At 43.2% G+C, this 15,928-nt stretch overlaps 1 protein-coding gene across 6 annotated transcripts in view, besides 2 other annotated features; it reads right to left on the bottom strand.

Moving 5' to 3' along the window:
• HEATR3 (HEAT repeat containing 3) overlaps positions 1 to 15,928 on the bottom strand; it is a 41,303-nt gene that overhangs the window by 24,978 nt on the left and 397 nt on the right. For 2 of the 6 annotated variants that reach the window (NR_138093.2, NM_001329731.2), the window contains exons 2-6: positions 15,756 to 15,928; positions 13,428 to 13,515; positions 12,005 to 12,117; positions 6,584 to 6,724; positions 3,277 to 3,554 (exon numbers count right to left, since the gene is read on the bottom strand). Coding sequence is in view for 4 of the 6 variants with exons in the window: in NM_001329731.2 (NP_001316660.1) it covers positions 3,277 to 3,554; positions 6,584 to 6,653 (348 nt within the window). In the remaining 2 variants the exon portion in view is untranslated. Of the gene's footprint in view, positions 1 to 3,276; positions 3,555 to 4,139; positions 4,394 to 6,583; positions 6,725 to 9,580; positions 9,691 to 12,004; positions 12,118 to 13,427; positions 13,516 to 15,312; positions 15,654 to 15,755 lie in introns of all 6 variants that reach the window. The other 4 variants (NR_138092.2, NM_001329729.2, NM_001329730.2 and 1 more) reach the window with 4 other exon arrangements.
• Positions 2,230 to 2,430: a silencer, noted in NCBI's record as "peak2588 fragment used in MPRA reporter construct". NCBI's record gives its function as "represses an SCP1 promoter by STARR-seq MPRAs in K562 erythroleukemia cells {active_cell/tissue: K562}" and the evidence as "EXISTENCE:reporter gene assay evidence [ECO:0000049][PMID:32103011]".
• Positions 15,603 to 15,862: a silencer, noted in NCBI's record as "silent region_7469". NCBI's record gives its function as "represses an Ori minimal core promoter by ATAC-STARR-seq in GM12878 lymphoblastoid cells {active_cell/tissue: GM12878}" and the evidence as "EXISTENCE:reporter gene assay evidence [ECO:0000049][PMID:35858748]".

The raw sequence follows: 15,928 nt of genomic DNA, 5'->3' as shown, positions 1-15,928 counted from the left end.
CTCGGCTCACTGCAATCTCCGCCTCCTGGGTTCAAGCGATTCTCATGTCTCAGCCTCCCGAGTAGCTGGAACTACAGGCATGCACCACCATTCTCGGCTAATTTTTTGCCTTTTTAGTAGAGACAGGGTTTCACCATATTGGCCAGGCAGGTCTTGAACTCCTGGCTTCAAGTGATCCACCCACCCTGGCCTCCCCAAGTGCTGGGATTACAGGCGTGAGCCACCATGCCCAGCCGAAGATCTGGCTTAAAAGGAACTCTGAAATTAAGCTCCACCTCTTTATGTAACTCTCTTGCTCAGAACTTTTCTCTGCTTCTTACTGCTATCAAGCTGACATAAAGAACCAATTTAGACGAAATGTTATGACATCTGAGATTTGCTTCAAAATAATCAGTACAGAAAAGACAGCGTGACGGGAACTAGATGAAATCAAATAGACCAGACTTTGAAAATTGGTAACTGTAGAAGCTGGGCAGAGAGTACTCTACTTTTGCATGTGCCCCCACAAAAAAACCAACTTGGGTTGAACTGCTCTTCCTTTATATCTTTGTGGTTATACCTTCTTAAGTTAAATGATGCAGTTTTGATTCTAAAGGAGTGCTGCAGAAGACACTGGATAGTGTGGAAGACCACAGCTGAATATAATTTGTGTTCCTGGCATCCTACTGGCACTTAAACACTGGCTGGCTGACCGACTAGCATGTTAATCATCCAGTCTAGTCAGTTATGTTAAGAACACTTTATTCTCCTTTTCTTCTTTTTTTTCTCCTCTACCCCCCGCCCCACCACCGCCCACCACTACAATCTTAAGGAAGACTTTATTTCTATTTGTATTTAGTTTTATTTTTCTGAAACAGAGTCTCGCTCAGTTGCCCAGGCTGGAGTGCAGTGGCGCGATCTTGACTCACTGCAACCTCCACCTCCCAGATTCAAGTGATTCTTGTGCCTCAGCCTTCCAAGTTGAGTGGCTGGGACTACAGGCACATGCCACCACACCTACCTAATTTTTGTATTTTTAGTAGAGATGGGGTTTCACCATATTGGTCAGGCTGGTCTTGAACTCCTGGACTCAGGCAATTTGCCCACCTCAGCCTCCCAAAGTGCTAGGATTATAGGCGTGAGCCACCACACCTGGCCAGAAGACTTTAAAAAGCCAGTTTTTACTATAAGAAAACACTGCATTTTTACAAGCACCAAAATAAAAGTAATAAGAAAATAAATTTCTACATATCAGTTAAATATCAATCGTTTTTCAACAGTGGCACTTCTATCTAAACCTTGTTAGACTTGGGTCTCACCCCCAACCTTACTCCCTGTAGAAGGTCCTTGGAAGCAAGGCTGGAGGTGGGGACAATCACACAAGAATGCCATTCTCTCATTCCCAGCAAGGGATTTCAGATCCTTCAAACACAGTATATCAGATAGGATCAACAGAAACCTGAGTAGGATGGTGCCCACAGCTGAAAATGACCCCATAAGCCCTGATTTATCACATCCCCTCTTTCCATGCACAGGTATGAAACAGGTTGGGTACCATGGTGCACGCCTATAATCCCAGCACTTTGAGAGGCCGAGGTGGGAAGATCGCTTGAGACCAGACAGCATAGTGAGATCTCGTCTCAAAATAAACCAATAGTAATAAAATAAAAAGATCTAGGCTGGGCGCAGTGGCTTACCCCTGTAATCCCAGCACTTTGGGAGGCCAAGGCGGGCAGACACCTGAGGTCGGGAGTTTGAGACCAGCCTGACCAACATGGAGAAACCCCATCTCTACTAAAAATGCCAAGTTGGCCGGGTGTGGTGACACATGCCTGTAATCCCAGCTACTTGGGAGGCTAAGGCAGGAGAATTGCTCGAACCTGGGAGGAGGAGGTTGCAGTGAGCCGAGATCACACCATTGCACTGCAGTTTGGGCAACAAAAGCAAAACTGTCTCAAAAAAAAAAAAAAAAATCTGTGAGCAACTCAAGTTCAGGGTGGCCTTCCCATTTCTGTTATTTGTCCCAGCACTTAACACAGTGGTTTGCACCCACAGTTTGCTCATATGAGGGGAAAAGTGGTTCTATCCACATTTTGATTTCTTTGAAACACCATCAATTTACGCTTCCCGAGACATCACGAACACAGGTAAGCATGAGAGGACATGATTGCCTCCTTCCAACTCAGCCTTCATCGTCCTTCGGCAGCCTCCTGACTGGTCCTCCTGCTGCCAGGCCCCTGTGCTCTCCCTTCCTCCAGCTGCCTGAGTGATCTCTCCAAACACTAACCTGCTTTTTCTCACCCCCTCCTTTATGACGCCCCAGGTGTTCTGTCTAAACGGCTCTCTCTGGCAGCCTCTTCCCTAGCTCTCCCACAGGGGCTGAGTCACAAGGGCTTACTCCACAGATACTATTTTCTTAGAAATCTGTGCATGGCCACGGCACTGTTCTCAGCGTAGGCCTTAGAGCCATGGTTTTATGTGTCTGTCTTCCCAACATGGAGGAAGTTCCTGAAGGCTGGAAATTACATCTTAATCATCTTTTTATCACCAGCGTCTAGCACAGTGCCTGGCATACATTAGGAGCACAGTAAATGTGAACCTGAATGAATAAAGCCTCACTCACTGTGCCCCGTCTTCCTATTTGCTCTCCTCCTTAACAAAGTGTTCTCCCAAAACACTTTGGGAGAACTTTCTCTCTCTGCAGACTGTGTCAGCTGAAATGCTTCCTGCACCCAAGATTGTTCCCCTTTACTGCAATATCACACCACCAGCACAAGTATGCCACCATCACCGACTCCAAGAAAACTACAAACCATCATTCATCTCACAGTCACCCAACCTCTTTGGATCAGTACTGGATAAATGAAGGTTTGGTTTGCCACCTTGATAAGGCTACATACTAAAATAAGAGGCAAGAATGCAAGGGACAATTCAGGCAAAGTACAAATTCCTTTAGTTTGAAGACAGTCTGGCAGACAGTATGTAACAGAAGTGGGGAGAAGCAAGAGTTACGAAGGTGATCATCTATTTCTAAAGTGTTCCAAAAGGATAGGTCTATCCCATCTCTGAAACCTTCTCCTGCATATAAAACGATTCACTTTAGACAAGAGATTTTTTTCCCCCTTTAGGAGATTTTTAATGACATAAAGAGAATCAACAGGAAAATATGACTCATTTTTACCAAAACGCACTTTATAGCTAATTTTGCTATAACATTTTTCTGCAAAGCCAAGGATAACTGCTGGAAAAAAAAAACAGCTGTATTAATCCATATTTGAGAACAGCAACCTGACTTACCGGAAGTAAATCTGAAACGAAAGTTTTCCTTCTGACTCTTCTTTTATGAGAAATTCCTTCCATTTCATCATCTTCAATCAAATCATCCCCATTAGTGTTCTCTAATATTTCCTCAGCCTCTGCAGCAGTTTTTAACCTTTGCGTTTCAGCCTCTTTCATTTGAATAACCATTTCACCAGCATCCATTCCCAAAACTTCAGATAAGATCTTTAGTAAGGCATTTATGATTTCTGCTTGACTCTTGCATGGAATAATGTCCTTTAGATTCCAAATTGTGCCTGGGAAAAAAACAAGCATAAGGATAAGAAATGCCTGTGAAATATTTTACTAAGTTTAAGTTTTCACAAGACTGGAGCTTTTAAGGCCAGTGTAATTTCAAAAAATCTCAGCCCTACTGCCTTTGTTCATTATTTATTAAATATCAATGAGTTCTGCACTGAGGCAGTGCCCTTAGTTATAACCCTGCACAATCATCTCCCTTCCTTGGCACACAATGCCTTTCTCTGATACACTGCATTATCAGCAGACCCAGAGAACACTGATCAAGTTTCTTTTAAAATGACAAAGTGAGTGGCATCACTTTCTTTCATTGTAACCTAAGCTGCTCTCCTCAGCAGCTTCTTATATTCCAAGAGTGAAATGGAATGCACTAAAATTCCAAGGTTGGTCTGACATATAAACATGAGAGTAGGTTCTTAATTTTTTGATTATCAAAAAAGAACAGGAGCTATCATTAAGTAGTCAGAGTAATTTTTTTTTAAGTTACTACAAAAATAAAAACACCTCCTGACTATAAACCCAAAAGAACTGAAAGCAGGGACTTGAACAGATTACATTCATTTTTGCCAGGTGCAGTGTCTCACCCTGTAATCCCAACACTTTGGGAGGCCAAGGTGGGAGGATCACTCGAGGTCAGGAGTTCGAGACAAGCCTGGGCAACATGGTGAAACCTCATCTCTACTAAAAATACAAAAATCAGCCAGGCGTGGTGGTGGGCGCTTGTAATCCCAGCTACTTGGGAGGCTGAGGCATGAGAATCACTTGAACCCAGGAGGCAGAGGTTGCAGTGAGCCGAGATCTTGCCACTGCACTCCAGCCTGGGTGACAGAGCAAGACTCTGTTTCAAAAAAAAAAAAAAAAATTACATCCATTTTCACAGCAGCCGTATTCACAATATCCAAGTTGTAGAAGTAACCCAAGTGTCCATCAACAGATGAAGAGATCAACAAAATGTGGTATAATACCTACAAGGCAATATTATTCAGCATTAAAAAGGAAGGAATTTCTGACACATGCTACAACATGGATGAACCTTGAGGCCACTATGCAAAAAGAAATAAGCCAGTCACAGAAAGACAAATTCTGTATGATTCCACTTCTATGAGGTGTTTAGAGGAGTCAAGGAATGGTGGCTGACAGCAGCTGGGGGAAGGGGAAATGGGAAAAATTGTGTTTAAAGGGTACAGTTTCAGTTTTGCAAGATGAAAAAGAGTTCCGGATTTTTACTGCACAACAATCTGAATGTACTTTACACCACTAAAGTATACATTTAAAAACAATTAAAGGCTGGGTGCTGTGGCTCACGCCTGTAATTCCAGCACTTTGGGAGGCCAAGGTGGGCAGATTACAAGAGCTCAGGAGTTTGACACCAGCCTAGGGAACATGGTGAGATGCCATCTCTACAAAAAAAAATACAAAAAATTAACTGTGGCTGGGGACTGTGGCTCACGCCTGTAATCCCAGCACAGGGAGGTCGAGATGGGCCAATCACTTTAGGTCAGGAGTTCGAGACCAGCCTGGTCAACATGGTGAAACCTCGTCTCTACTAAAAAAATAAAAAAATTAGGCCAGGCGCGGTGGCTCACGCCTGTGATCCCAGCACTTTGGGAGGCCAAGGCGGGCGGATCACAAGGTCAGGAGATCAAGACCATCCTGGCTAACACAGTGAAACCCCGTCTTTACTAAAAAAAAAAAATACAAAAAATTAGCTGGGCGTGGTGGCAGGCACCTGTAGTCCCAGCTACTCGGGAGGCTGAGGCAGGAGAATGGCGTGAACCTGGGAAGCGGAGCTTGCAGTGAGTGGAGATCGCGCCACGCACTCCAGCCTGGGCGGCAGAGCGAGACTCAGTCTCCAAAAAAAAAAAAAAAAAAAATAGCCAGGTGTGGTGGTGGGTGCCTGTAATGCCAACTATTCAGGAGACTGAGGCAGGAGGATCGCTTGAACTCAGGAGGCAGAGATTGCAGTAAGCTGAGCTCGCACCACTGCGTTCCAGCCTGGGTGACAGAGCAAGAGTCCGTCTCAAAAAAAAAAAAATTAACTGGTCCTGGTGGCATGCACCTGTAGTCCCAGCTACTTGGGAGGCTGAGATGGGAAGATCACTTGAGCCCAGGAGGTGGAGGCTGCAGTGAGCCAAGATTGCACCACAGCACTCCTGCCTGGGCAACAGAGGAGGACTCTGTCTCAAAAAAACCCAAAACGATTAAGACGGTAAATTTCATGTGTATTTTTCCACTATTAAAATAAAAAAACAGGCCAGGCGCAGTGGCTCATACCTGTAATCCCAGCACTTTAGGAGGTCAAGGTGGGCAAATCACCTGAGGTCCCGAGCTCAAGACCAGCCTGGCCAACATGGTAAAACCCCGTCTCTACCAAAAATACAGAAATTAGCTGAGCGTGGTGGCGCACGCTTGTAATTCCAGCTACTTGGGAGGCTGAGGCATGAGAATCACTTGAACCTGGGAGGTGAGGCTGCAGAGCCAGCCACCGCACTCCAGCCTGGGTGAAAGAGCCAGACTCCATCTCAAAACAATAAAAAATAAAAAAAGTAAAAAAGTAAAAAAAAAATCTCTCAACATAAATTATCTCTGCAAGACAAAGGGCAAGAAGAAAATAGATACATAAACTAAATAAAGTACATACTAAACAGACCTTCAGATAATTTCTTACTTCTGTATTCAGACATTCTGCAGAGAAAAGAGTTGGTGGTTAAAAAAAAAAAAACTTATGGAAAACTAAGTGGTCAATTTCTGAAATCACTGGTTCATAAATAAGTGGGGATCCTGACAACAGCATCTCTTTATCAGGTTAACAGTAGTTTGTTAAATTCGAAACAAATCTATTCTACAAGGATTTACAACTATAGACAACTGCTTGAAGTAAGGGTCTCTTCTCAGATATTAAAATTTTCAGAACAGATAAAAGCACAGAAGACCTAATGTGTTGAAATGAATGACTAAATTTTGCCCCCACCACATCCATACCAAAAGCTACTGAAACAATATACTATGCCGTAAGGCTAAATTTTACCTGCTACCAATGTCTTCAATAGAAGAGATTCCATGGAACTGACAGGAGAAAGCAGTGCTGATTCCAGCATGTTCAATGCTGTAGCACTGAAAGACTTCAGCAGCTCTGGGTTATCCTCAGTCACTGTCTGCAAACAATATGCTACGAGGCAAAAAATAAGTATTTAGAAACAAATGAATTCTGCTTTGGATAATTTACACCAGTATAACTCATCAATAAAACATTGTATCATTACCACTTCATTAGACACATGTAGGTTTTGCAAAATATATATGCTTTATCTCAGGGTGATATGCGCAAATGAGGCTTCCCAAACTATCAGTGCTGGAAAAGATCATGTTTCTTTTCTTTTTAAATTTCTAATCCTGTACAGATCTATACTTTTTTTTTTTTTTTTTGAGACAGTCTTGCTCTGTCACCCAGGCTGGAATGCAGTGGCGCATCTCAGCTCACTACAACCTCTGCCTCCCAGGTTCAAACGATTCCTGTGCCTCAGTCTCTCAGGTAACTGGAATTAAAGGTATGCGCCATGATGCCTGGCTAATTTCTATATTTTTAGTAGAGACAGGGTTTCACCATGAAAGCCAGGCTGGTCTGGAACTCCTGGTCTCAAGTGATCTGTCCGTTTCGGCCCTTCAAAGTGCTGGGATTACAGGCATGAGCCACCATGCCCAGCCAGATCTACACTTTTTACAAAATACAATTAAAAAGACTCTTTTATTTTTTTTTTGAGATGGAGTCTCGCTCTGTCGCCCAGGCTAGAGTGCAGTGGCACAATCTTGGCTCACTGCAAGCTCCGCCTCCTGGGTTCACACCATTCTCCTGCCTCAGGCTCCCGAGTAGCTGGGACTACAGGCACCCGCCACCATGCTTGGCTAATTTGTTGTATTTTTAGTAGAGATGGGGCTTCACCTTGTCAGCCAGGATGGTCTCGATCTCCTGACCTTGTGATCCGCCCGCCTCAGCCTCCCAAAGTGCTGGGATTACAGGTGTGAGCTACCACGCCCAGCCTAAAAAGACTCTTAAATGCGGCAATGTCGTTACTATAAATGTTTATAAAAGTTTATCCTCAGGCCGGGTGCGGTGGCTCATGCCCGTAATCCCAGCACTTTGGGAGGCTGAGGCAGGAGGATCACTTGAGGTCAGGAGTTGCAGACCAGCCTGGCCAGCATGGCAAAACCCCATCTCTACTGAAAACACAAAAATTAGCTAGGCATGGTGATGCACGCCTGTAATCCCAGCTACTTGGGAGGCTGAGGCAAGAGGATAGCTTGAACCCGGGAGGCGGAGGTTGTAGTAAGTCGAGATTGCGCCACTGCACTCCAGCCTGGGTGACAGAGCTGAGACTCCATCTCAAAAAAAAAAAAAAAATTTTACCCTCAATTTATGTACTTATCAAGGACCAGTAGCAAACAGCCTTAGGTTTTGGGACGTCTGGCTTCCTTTAAATTTATCATGACCTTCAAAGTTAGGGTTATTTCTGGCAGAGCAATAGCTCTTTAAGAAAAAAAGTAGTTTATATAAAAGTATGAGCAAATTAAGAGATGTGTAAAATATTAAATCATGCCCATCAAAATTACTCAAAATGCATGCTACTGCTGTGGTTGATGATACATTTATATGGAAATCCACATATATGCATTTCTGTACATATATCCAAATGTAATATCTTTGTCATTAAGAAACTAATTAAATTTACTTTAGCCAACAGCCATGACTGCTACCATACAGGTTCAAAAAAAGTTATATGAATACATGGGATGGAATCTTATAAGTTCATTTTACTATATGTAAGCATTGCTTGACTTTAGAAGCAAAAGTAATAATGTATTTTAAAAAATCATTAATCTAGCTACATGGAGAAGGAAAACACTATTATACAATGCAAAATGACTATTCTAATCCATTTCAAAAACGCTCATTAAGGGGAAGAAAAACTAAAAACAGAAATAAATCTATAAGACTAAAGGCACAAAAATAGAAGTGATTTTTCTTGTAAAAGATATGAACTAACTTTCCTGAAGTTCTCTTATTGTAACAAAAACTGTCCTCTGAGATTAAGTCACCTATCAATTTCCTAAAAATGGCTGAATCGTTTTTAAAATCCCCATTTACTCACAACTCTCCAGCCCCACCAAGATTCCATTTAGAGAAATGATTTTTAAAATTTTCTCAGTAGTATTTATTCTACTATTTTCCCTCAATTCTGTTCTCTTAAAAATATCCATTAGAGTCAAGAAAAACAGCAGTCAGGGGAATACACTTCTTCCTCCCCAGGAGAAATGCAGTTCCACAAAGGGACAGCTGGATGCCCGCAGTAATGATCGGTAGAAAAGAAATGCTCTCCCTCAATTGTTTCTCCACTCCCACCCAGAATTCTGCTGAGTTGCCTATGCTCTGACTTCTGCCTCCTGCCACTGAGCTGAGGGTCCCCAGTGGTTCCCCAGCCCAATAAAGAGAAGGCGAGGCAGCCAAAGCCACTGAAGTTGCTGGACTTTGCCTTCCCTGTCTCATGGAAGGCATGAAGGCCTAAGTGGAATTTCAATCATTTCTTTTCCTCTTTTTCTCTCAACAAAACTCAGGCCGTCAGTTTTCTGCTGGACGTATGAGATAGTAGCACAATACATTTAAATAAGTTTAGATTCCAATTAACTGGCTTAAAGGCCTGGTAGTTGTGCGTTACTGTTTCTTAGTAAATGGAGATGAAAACTTCAAGAATTAATAAAGGCTGCTAAGAATGGAAACAGGCTAGAAACCACATATCCTCACATAATTACCTTTCTCCCTTTCAGAGTCAAAAGCAGAAAAACTGAATGAGTAGGTAAAGAATTAATATTAATCACAGATTTAAGACCCAGAAAAAACAGGTGCTGAGCTACACATTCACATACAACGAAACAAAAAATCACTCCAGTGGAATAAACACGCCAAAGCTGCATAAAAATTTTTGAATAAGGCTACACATTCTTAATAAGTCATCACCTTTTCTTCACTTACCTACTGAAATAGCCAGGTCAACATTGGTAGGAAACCTACTTAAATACTTTAACACAATCTCCAAACACCCTTCTTTGTTGAATATAGACACTGCTCTACTACTGCATTCACTAAATTGAAGGGGGAAAAAAAAGTTTTACTATTCACATTTTAACAGTAGGAAATCAACCATAGCAATCCATAAAAAAACAAACGAGGCTTTATAAACCAAGGAGTTGGAATCAAACACCCACCATTTTTATCGATGAAGGAACTAACACCCATTCACATTCACTGTACATGAGAACTGGCTATCTATATTTTATTTCTATCACAATGGGACCTTTTCATCAATCTCTTTGCCATGATGCCAGTTTCCTTATAGAAGGTTAGAGCTGGAAGAGATCTTGTAAATCGTTTAATTCAACTCCCCATTTTATAAATGTGAAGACCCAGGCCCCAAGTGGTAAAGTGGCCCATCAAAGAGCACACATTTTGTTAGTGGTAGAGCCAGGCCCAGTACCTAGGTTCCCTGGGTCCAGGCTACTGTTTTTTCTTTCCTCCATACCACAATGATAACAAGTTAAAGGAGGATAAAAGGCCTCTATATTTATCACACAAAAACACAAATTTATTTTTTATTTTTTAACCTACTATATTTTAGAACATTAACAAAAACACACATTTAAAGGAAAATAAAATTATATTTTATTCAAGCCTTTTAGAGTGCAATTATAATTTCATCAAGCAGAATTTGCAGTCTACAATAGAGAAATTACAATAAGTATTTTTTAAATTATACTACCTTTTAATAAAAGACTCAGCTTTCAGTGTTATGAATAAGCAAACACATTAAATACGAGTTAACAAGGCTAATTGTAATAATTGTATCCATGTTTCCAGAGGAAATATCCATGTTGTACATGTTTCCTCCATACATATAACATACACACATGACACGCTAACAGAGCTGACTAAATTATTAAACTAAATCTGTTATGTAATGAAAAATATTTCATATCTTCTATCTACCTACCTACCTACCTATCTAGTTATGGCAGCATGAAGGAGCCCACAGTCTAGTCAGGAAGACAAGGCATATATGTGTAAAGATAATTTGAAATATAAATGATGAAACAAAAATGTTAAAAGTTATAGTAACTCAGTGATACAGACAGGGCTCATAGGTATTCAGAAAAGAGAAATCACCTTGGAGATATATTCAGATTCTTTTCAAGGAAATTTTTTAAAAACTTCCAAATGCAACAATTTCTATGACTTAAAGTTATCTGGTGCACAGAAAAACAGCACCCATCAGTTTTTGCTCAAATGCCATTTCCTCAGATCTGATCTCTCTAATATTTCTGGTGGAATGCATTCATTAAAATGAAATCACAGGCAAGGTCAGATTGCCACGTAGGCATTTCAGGATCCAACTTAATCTTGTATTCTAAGAAACATCTGTGCTTTTAGGTCAGCCACTGTAATTGCTGCTGACTGAAGATAAGAAACTGTGACAGAGTCTTGCTAGAAATGTGGGACATAAAATGGGGCAGAAAAAAGTAAATCCAGGTTGTGTTTCTAGCCATTTCCATTCCTAGCGGCAAGTCCACTCCACCCTCACCACTGCTACAATCACAGAATGGAGAGTGGCCTTCTTCCTCCTGGGGCCAAGGGAGCTCTTCTTAGGCATCTACTTCCCAATCAGACAGTAAGTGCCAGGAAAGAGAAAGAAAAGCACCAGCCAAGGTCTGTGGTCCCCATCTCAGTCTAGAGGCCAAACCAAAGCTGCACCTGCATGTGGGACTGACCAGCTTAAAGACAAATTCTGCTCAGGGTGTACAAGAAGTCGGGGGAAAGGAGGAGCCACAGGTGCTAATGGTCATGATTCCTCCTATCTTTTGTCAGATGCAATGACTGGAGAGGAAAGCCGTAAAACAAAAGATGTAGTGATGCAGTAAGAAAACGGACTGGGAAGGAGGGTTGATCTTAGGTCACTTGATCCTGCCTCTTACCAAGTCTTTTTTTTTTTTGAGACAGGAATTTCGCCCTGTCCCCCAGGCTGGAGTGCAGTGGCACGATCTTGGCTCACTGCAAGCTCTGCCTCCAGGGTTCAAGCGATTCTCCTGCCTCAGCCTCCCGAGTAGCTGGGATTATGGGCATGTACCACCACACTCGGCTAATTTTTTAATATTTTTGGTAGAGACGGGGTTTCACAGTGTTGGCCAGGCTGGTCTCAAACTCCCGACCTCAAGTGATCCACCCGCCTCGGCCTCCCAAAGTGCTGGGATTACAGGCATGAGCCACCATGTCCGGCCCCTACCATGTCTTAACATCCCAGATTAACAGGCCTACCAAGGGGAACAGAGATTCCTACACAGTATAACAGAGAATAGCAGCCTGGGTACTGCTATAGCAGGAGACTGTGTTTGGTAGGCATCTTACCATATATTCCACAGCACGTTCACAGTCTCATTGGCTATGTTCTCAATAGAATTTCTGTTCTGATCTTTTTTCTCCTGCAGAGACATCTCATTTGAATCCAGTCCAGCACTACACTGTAACCAAATATCATGATTAGCACCCTGGTTCCTAAGAAGAATTAAACAAATAGGGTAATGATGGTGATGAAACACAAAGGCTAGACATCAGAAATTACCGTGGTTAACAAGCCAGTCGAATCCTTACAAACAGTAGTACAAAATCAATACAAAGTATTTTACCTAATAAATGTAATAAAAGACAGTAGGAAGGCAACAAAAGATGAAATAAGAGCTTCTACCTAGCACCTTCTGTTTATTACATAGCGCCTTCTAAAGTACTATTCTAAGCATTTTACATGTATCAAGTCATTTAATCCTCACAATAAACCTATGAGGTAGGTGAACTATTATTATCCCCAATCTCCAGCTGCAAATGGGAAAGTGAGGTACAGGGAGGCTGCTGAAGGTGTTAGATTAGCATGTGGTGAAGCTGGGATTCAGGCCCTAGCATTTGACTCCAAAGCTGGTGCTCTTAAGCCCCTCTAGTACAGCCCAGGAGACCCTCTAAAGCAGGGCTTCTCAATCCAGGTACTACTGAAATTCTCCACCAGAAAATTCTTTGTTGGGGAAGGAAGGGCTGTCGTGTGCATTTGGGGATGTTTAGCAGCATCCCTGGCCTCTACCCACTGGATGCCAGTGGCAAACCCCACAAGCTCTGTAACAACCAATGTCTCCAGACATTGCCAGTTATGCCCTGTGAAGCAAGATCATACCCAGTTGAGAATCACTGCTCTAAAATGACTGATGCCTCTCATCAAAACTGGATATCCTTTATGTAGCCTTAAGTGAAAATTACCCATCAGTACAGAATAGAGGACCAGAGGCACTCCAGAGACAGAGCTCCTTAACCTCTTGACTATGTCATGCAATAAGACTGGAATGAGATCAAACATGAGAACTTACTGTAATCTTCACAAGTTCCTAATGTCTGTGCCTCGGCTTTGTCATCTGTAAAATGGGAATAATACCTGCCTCATAGAATACTGTGAGGATTAAATTATATAATATCCAAAACATGAAAATAATACCTGGCACATAAATAAGCAATGACTAAATACTAATTATTTTTATTGTAAGAAGTTTAACATCTAAAGGAGTGAGTCTGTACAATTTTAGGAAAGTCTTTTCCAACTATCATAAAAATAAAGCTACAAAATAATAGAGATTAGTATCAATAATGAGAGCAGATTGGTGTTTCCAGGAAAAGGAATGAAATTTCCATAAGATGTTTAGATAGAAGACAAAGTCACCAACACCAAAGTACTAAAAAAAGTCTAAGTTTGCATCCCAAAAGCTACCATCAAGATACTGTAAAAACTGCATACCTCTTTTAGCAGCGCAACCAGAGGGGTCATGATATCCTTAGTCACCATGTCATCACAAACTTCAAAACCTCCACAAGCACTGAGATTTCTACACAAGAAGTTTAAAACATGTTTTACTTTCACATCACATGTCACAGAACACTTCTACCCTCTCACATTTCTATTTTTAGCCATATTTAAGGTTTCCCAGAGGAAATAGCTTATTGTTTCTGTCATACGCTGCAGAACCAATCCAGAGATTTCCATCTGTTCTGATCCATGTTCTACAAGATATAAACAGACGACGCTGTCATATAACTTAGTTCTGAGGTCTGAAACAGTATACAGGTGCATGGCTACAAGAAGGGGAGAGGGGAGACTTTTCTCATGTGAATAAATCACATCATGTATGAAGGGACCTTTTCTTGGAATCAAGACTACAAGGGCAGGGCTAGGTGCTGTGGCTCACACCTGTAATCCCAGCACTTTGAGAGGCCTAGGTGGGAGGATCAATTGAGCTCAGGAATTCAAGACCAGCCTAGGAACAGCGGGAGACCCCGTTTCTAAAAAAATAAAATAAAATAAAAAGCGAACTGCAAGGGCAGCAAGGTGGGGCTACTGAGAATGACACCCCCTAAAGCAGCCCTGGGTAAATTTTAATTGGAAAGACATGACTTCCGAGTACACAGCACTGTGCTAGTCCCTAAGGATATGGAGATAGTCAGAAGATGCCCTCACAATGTGCCAGGATCCCCCAGCCTCTGTATGCTGTGGGAGGAAGGGAAGGGCTTTCCACATGCTGTTTCCTCCCTAAAGGAAGAAGAGCGTCTATCCCCCCTCCATCAACTGGTGAATGCCCATTCATTCCTCCGAGCTCACCTCAAGCACCACTCACTCAGTCTTCTTCCCTGAACCCTTTGTTTGTACCCTCTTTTAGCACCCTTTGTCATTACCATTCATTGTAATCATACACTTATGTAACTGTTTGGTTAATGCTTGTCTCCCTCAATACACTTTAAGATTTCTTAAGGAGAGACATTGCCTTGCTCATTACCCCATGCCCACAGCTTAGCTCAGTGTCTGGCACACAGTTGGCACTTTATACATATTTGCTATATCAGTGAATGAAATATAAATAACAAACAGAGACAGAGCTGTAAGAACTACAAATACTAACCTCTACTCTTGCCCCCTCTGCAGTCCATTCTCTGCACAACCAGCAGAGTGGTCTTCACAAAATGTGTTGCAGCATGTCACTTCCCTGCTTAGAGTTAAGTCCTCAGCCCTACACCATCGTACAGCTCATCCCTCTCTCCAGCCTCACTTCCTGTAATTACCCACCCCTGCTCTTCTCAGCCACCTACCTACCCTCTCTGCTGTTTAACCACGTCAAGCTGCCTGCTGCTTCGCTTCTTTGCTGTTGCTGCTCCCTTTGTGGGGAATATTCTTCCCCCTATTTTCCCATGCCTCCTGGCTCTCTCACCCTGCACATCTCCTTTCACAAGTCATCTAAAGAGCACCTTTTTTTTTTTTTGAGACAGGGTCTTGTTCTATCACCCAGGCTGGAGTGCAGTGGTGTGATCATAGCTCACTGCAGCCTCGAACTCCTGGGCTCAAGCGATTCTCCTACCTCAGCCTCCTGAGTAGCTGGGATTACAGGCACCCACCACCATGCCCGACTAATTGTTTATAATTTTTCTACAGACGGGGTCTTGCTATGTTGCCCAGGTTGGCCTTGGACTCCTGGCCTCCAGTGATCCTCCTTCCTTGGCCTCCCAAAGCAATGGGATTACAGGTGTGTGCCACCGCGCCCGGCCCAAGAGCACCCAATTCAAACTTCCCACCCCCAACTCATCATCATCTCGTTTTCCCACAGCAATTCTCACTATTTAATATTATGTTTTACCTTTTTACTAGCTTCCTGTCTGTCTCCCCATCAACATGACTTGTGCCAAGACAGGGATCTTGGCTGTCAACAGATCTCGCTCAAAAGTCTTGGCTGCTCAAAGTCCCCTGCATCTAGAACGATTCCTGACACATGAACTGAAGAGTTCATCCAAGCAAGGGACCCTAAGGAGGGCTTTTGGAGAGTGTAAAACGTGCGCAAGGCGTGAGGGCAGGACGCCTGAGCAGGTGGACGCTGCAGGTGAAGCAGCCAGGTGGACAGATGAGATGCGGGGATACTGGGCTTCTCCGGAGCCTGGAGACTGGCTTCAAATCTCTGCAAACGGGAGACCGGGCCAGTGCCTGATGGCACACAGAAGGCGCTGGGTGACCGCTGCGACCGCCCGCAGCCCAGACGCGGGGGAGGCCAGCGGTGGGCACCGCCCCGCACCCTTCCTGGCTCACCTCAGCGCGCCGGCTGCAGTCTCCCTGACGGCCAGGCTGGGGTCTAGCAGCAGCGGCCCGAGGCGGCGCACGGCGTCTCGTCGCGCCAGGCCCGGGAGTGCCGGCCGCTGCTGCACCAGCCGGGCCAGCCCTGCGCAGGCGCACTCGCGGACCTCGGCGCTCGGGTGCTGGAG

This window comes from Homo sapiens, chromosome 16 (genome assembly GCF_000001405.40).
Source record: "Homo sapiens chromosome 16, GRCh38.p14 Primary Assembly".
Taxonomy (NCBI): domain Eukaryota; kingdom Metazoa; phylum Chordata; class Mammalia; order Primates; family Hominidae; genus Homo; species Homo sapiens.
This window is presented reverse-complemented; position numbering and strand designations above follow the sequence as displayed.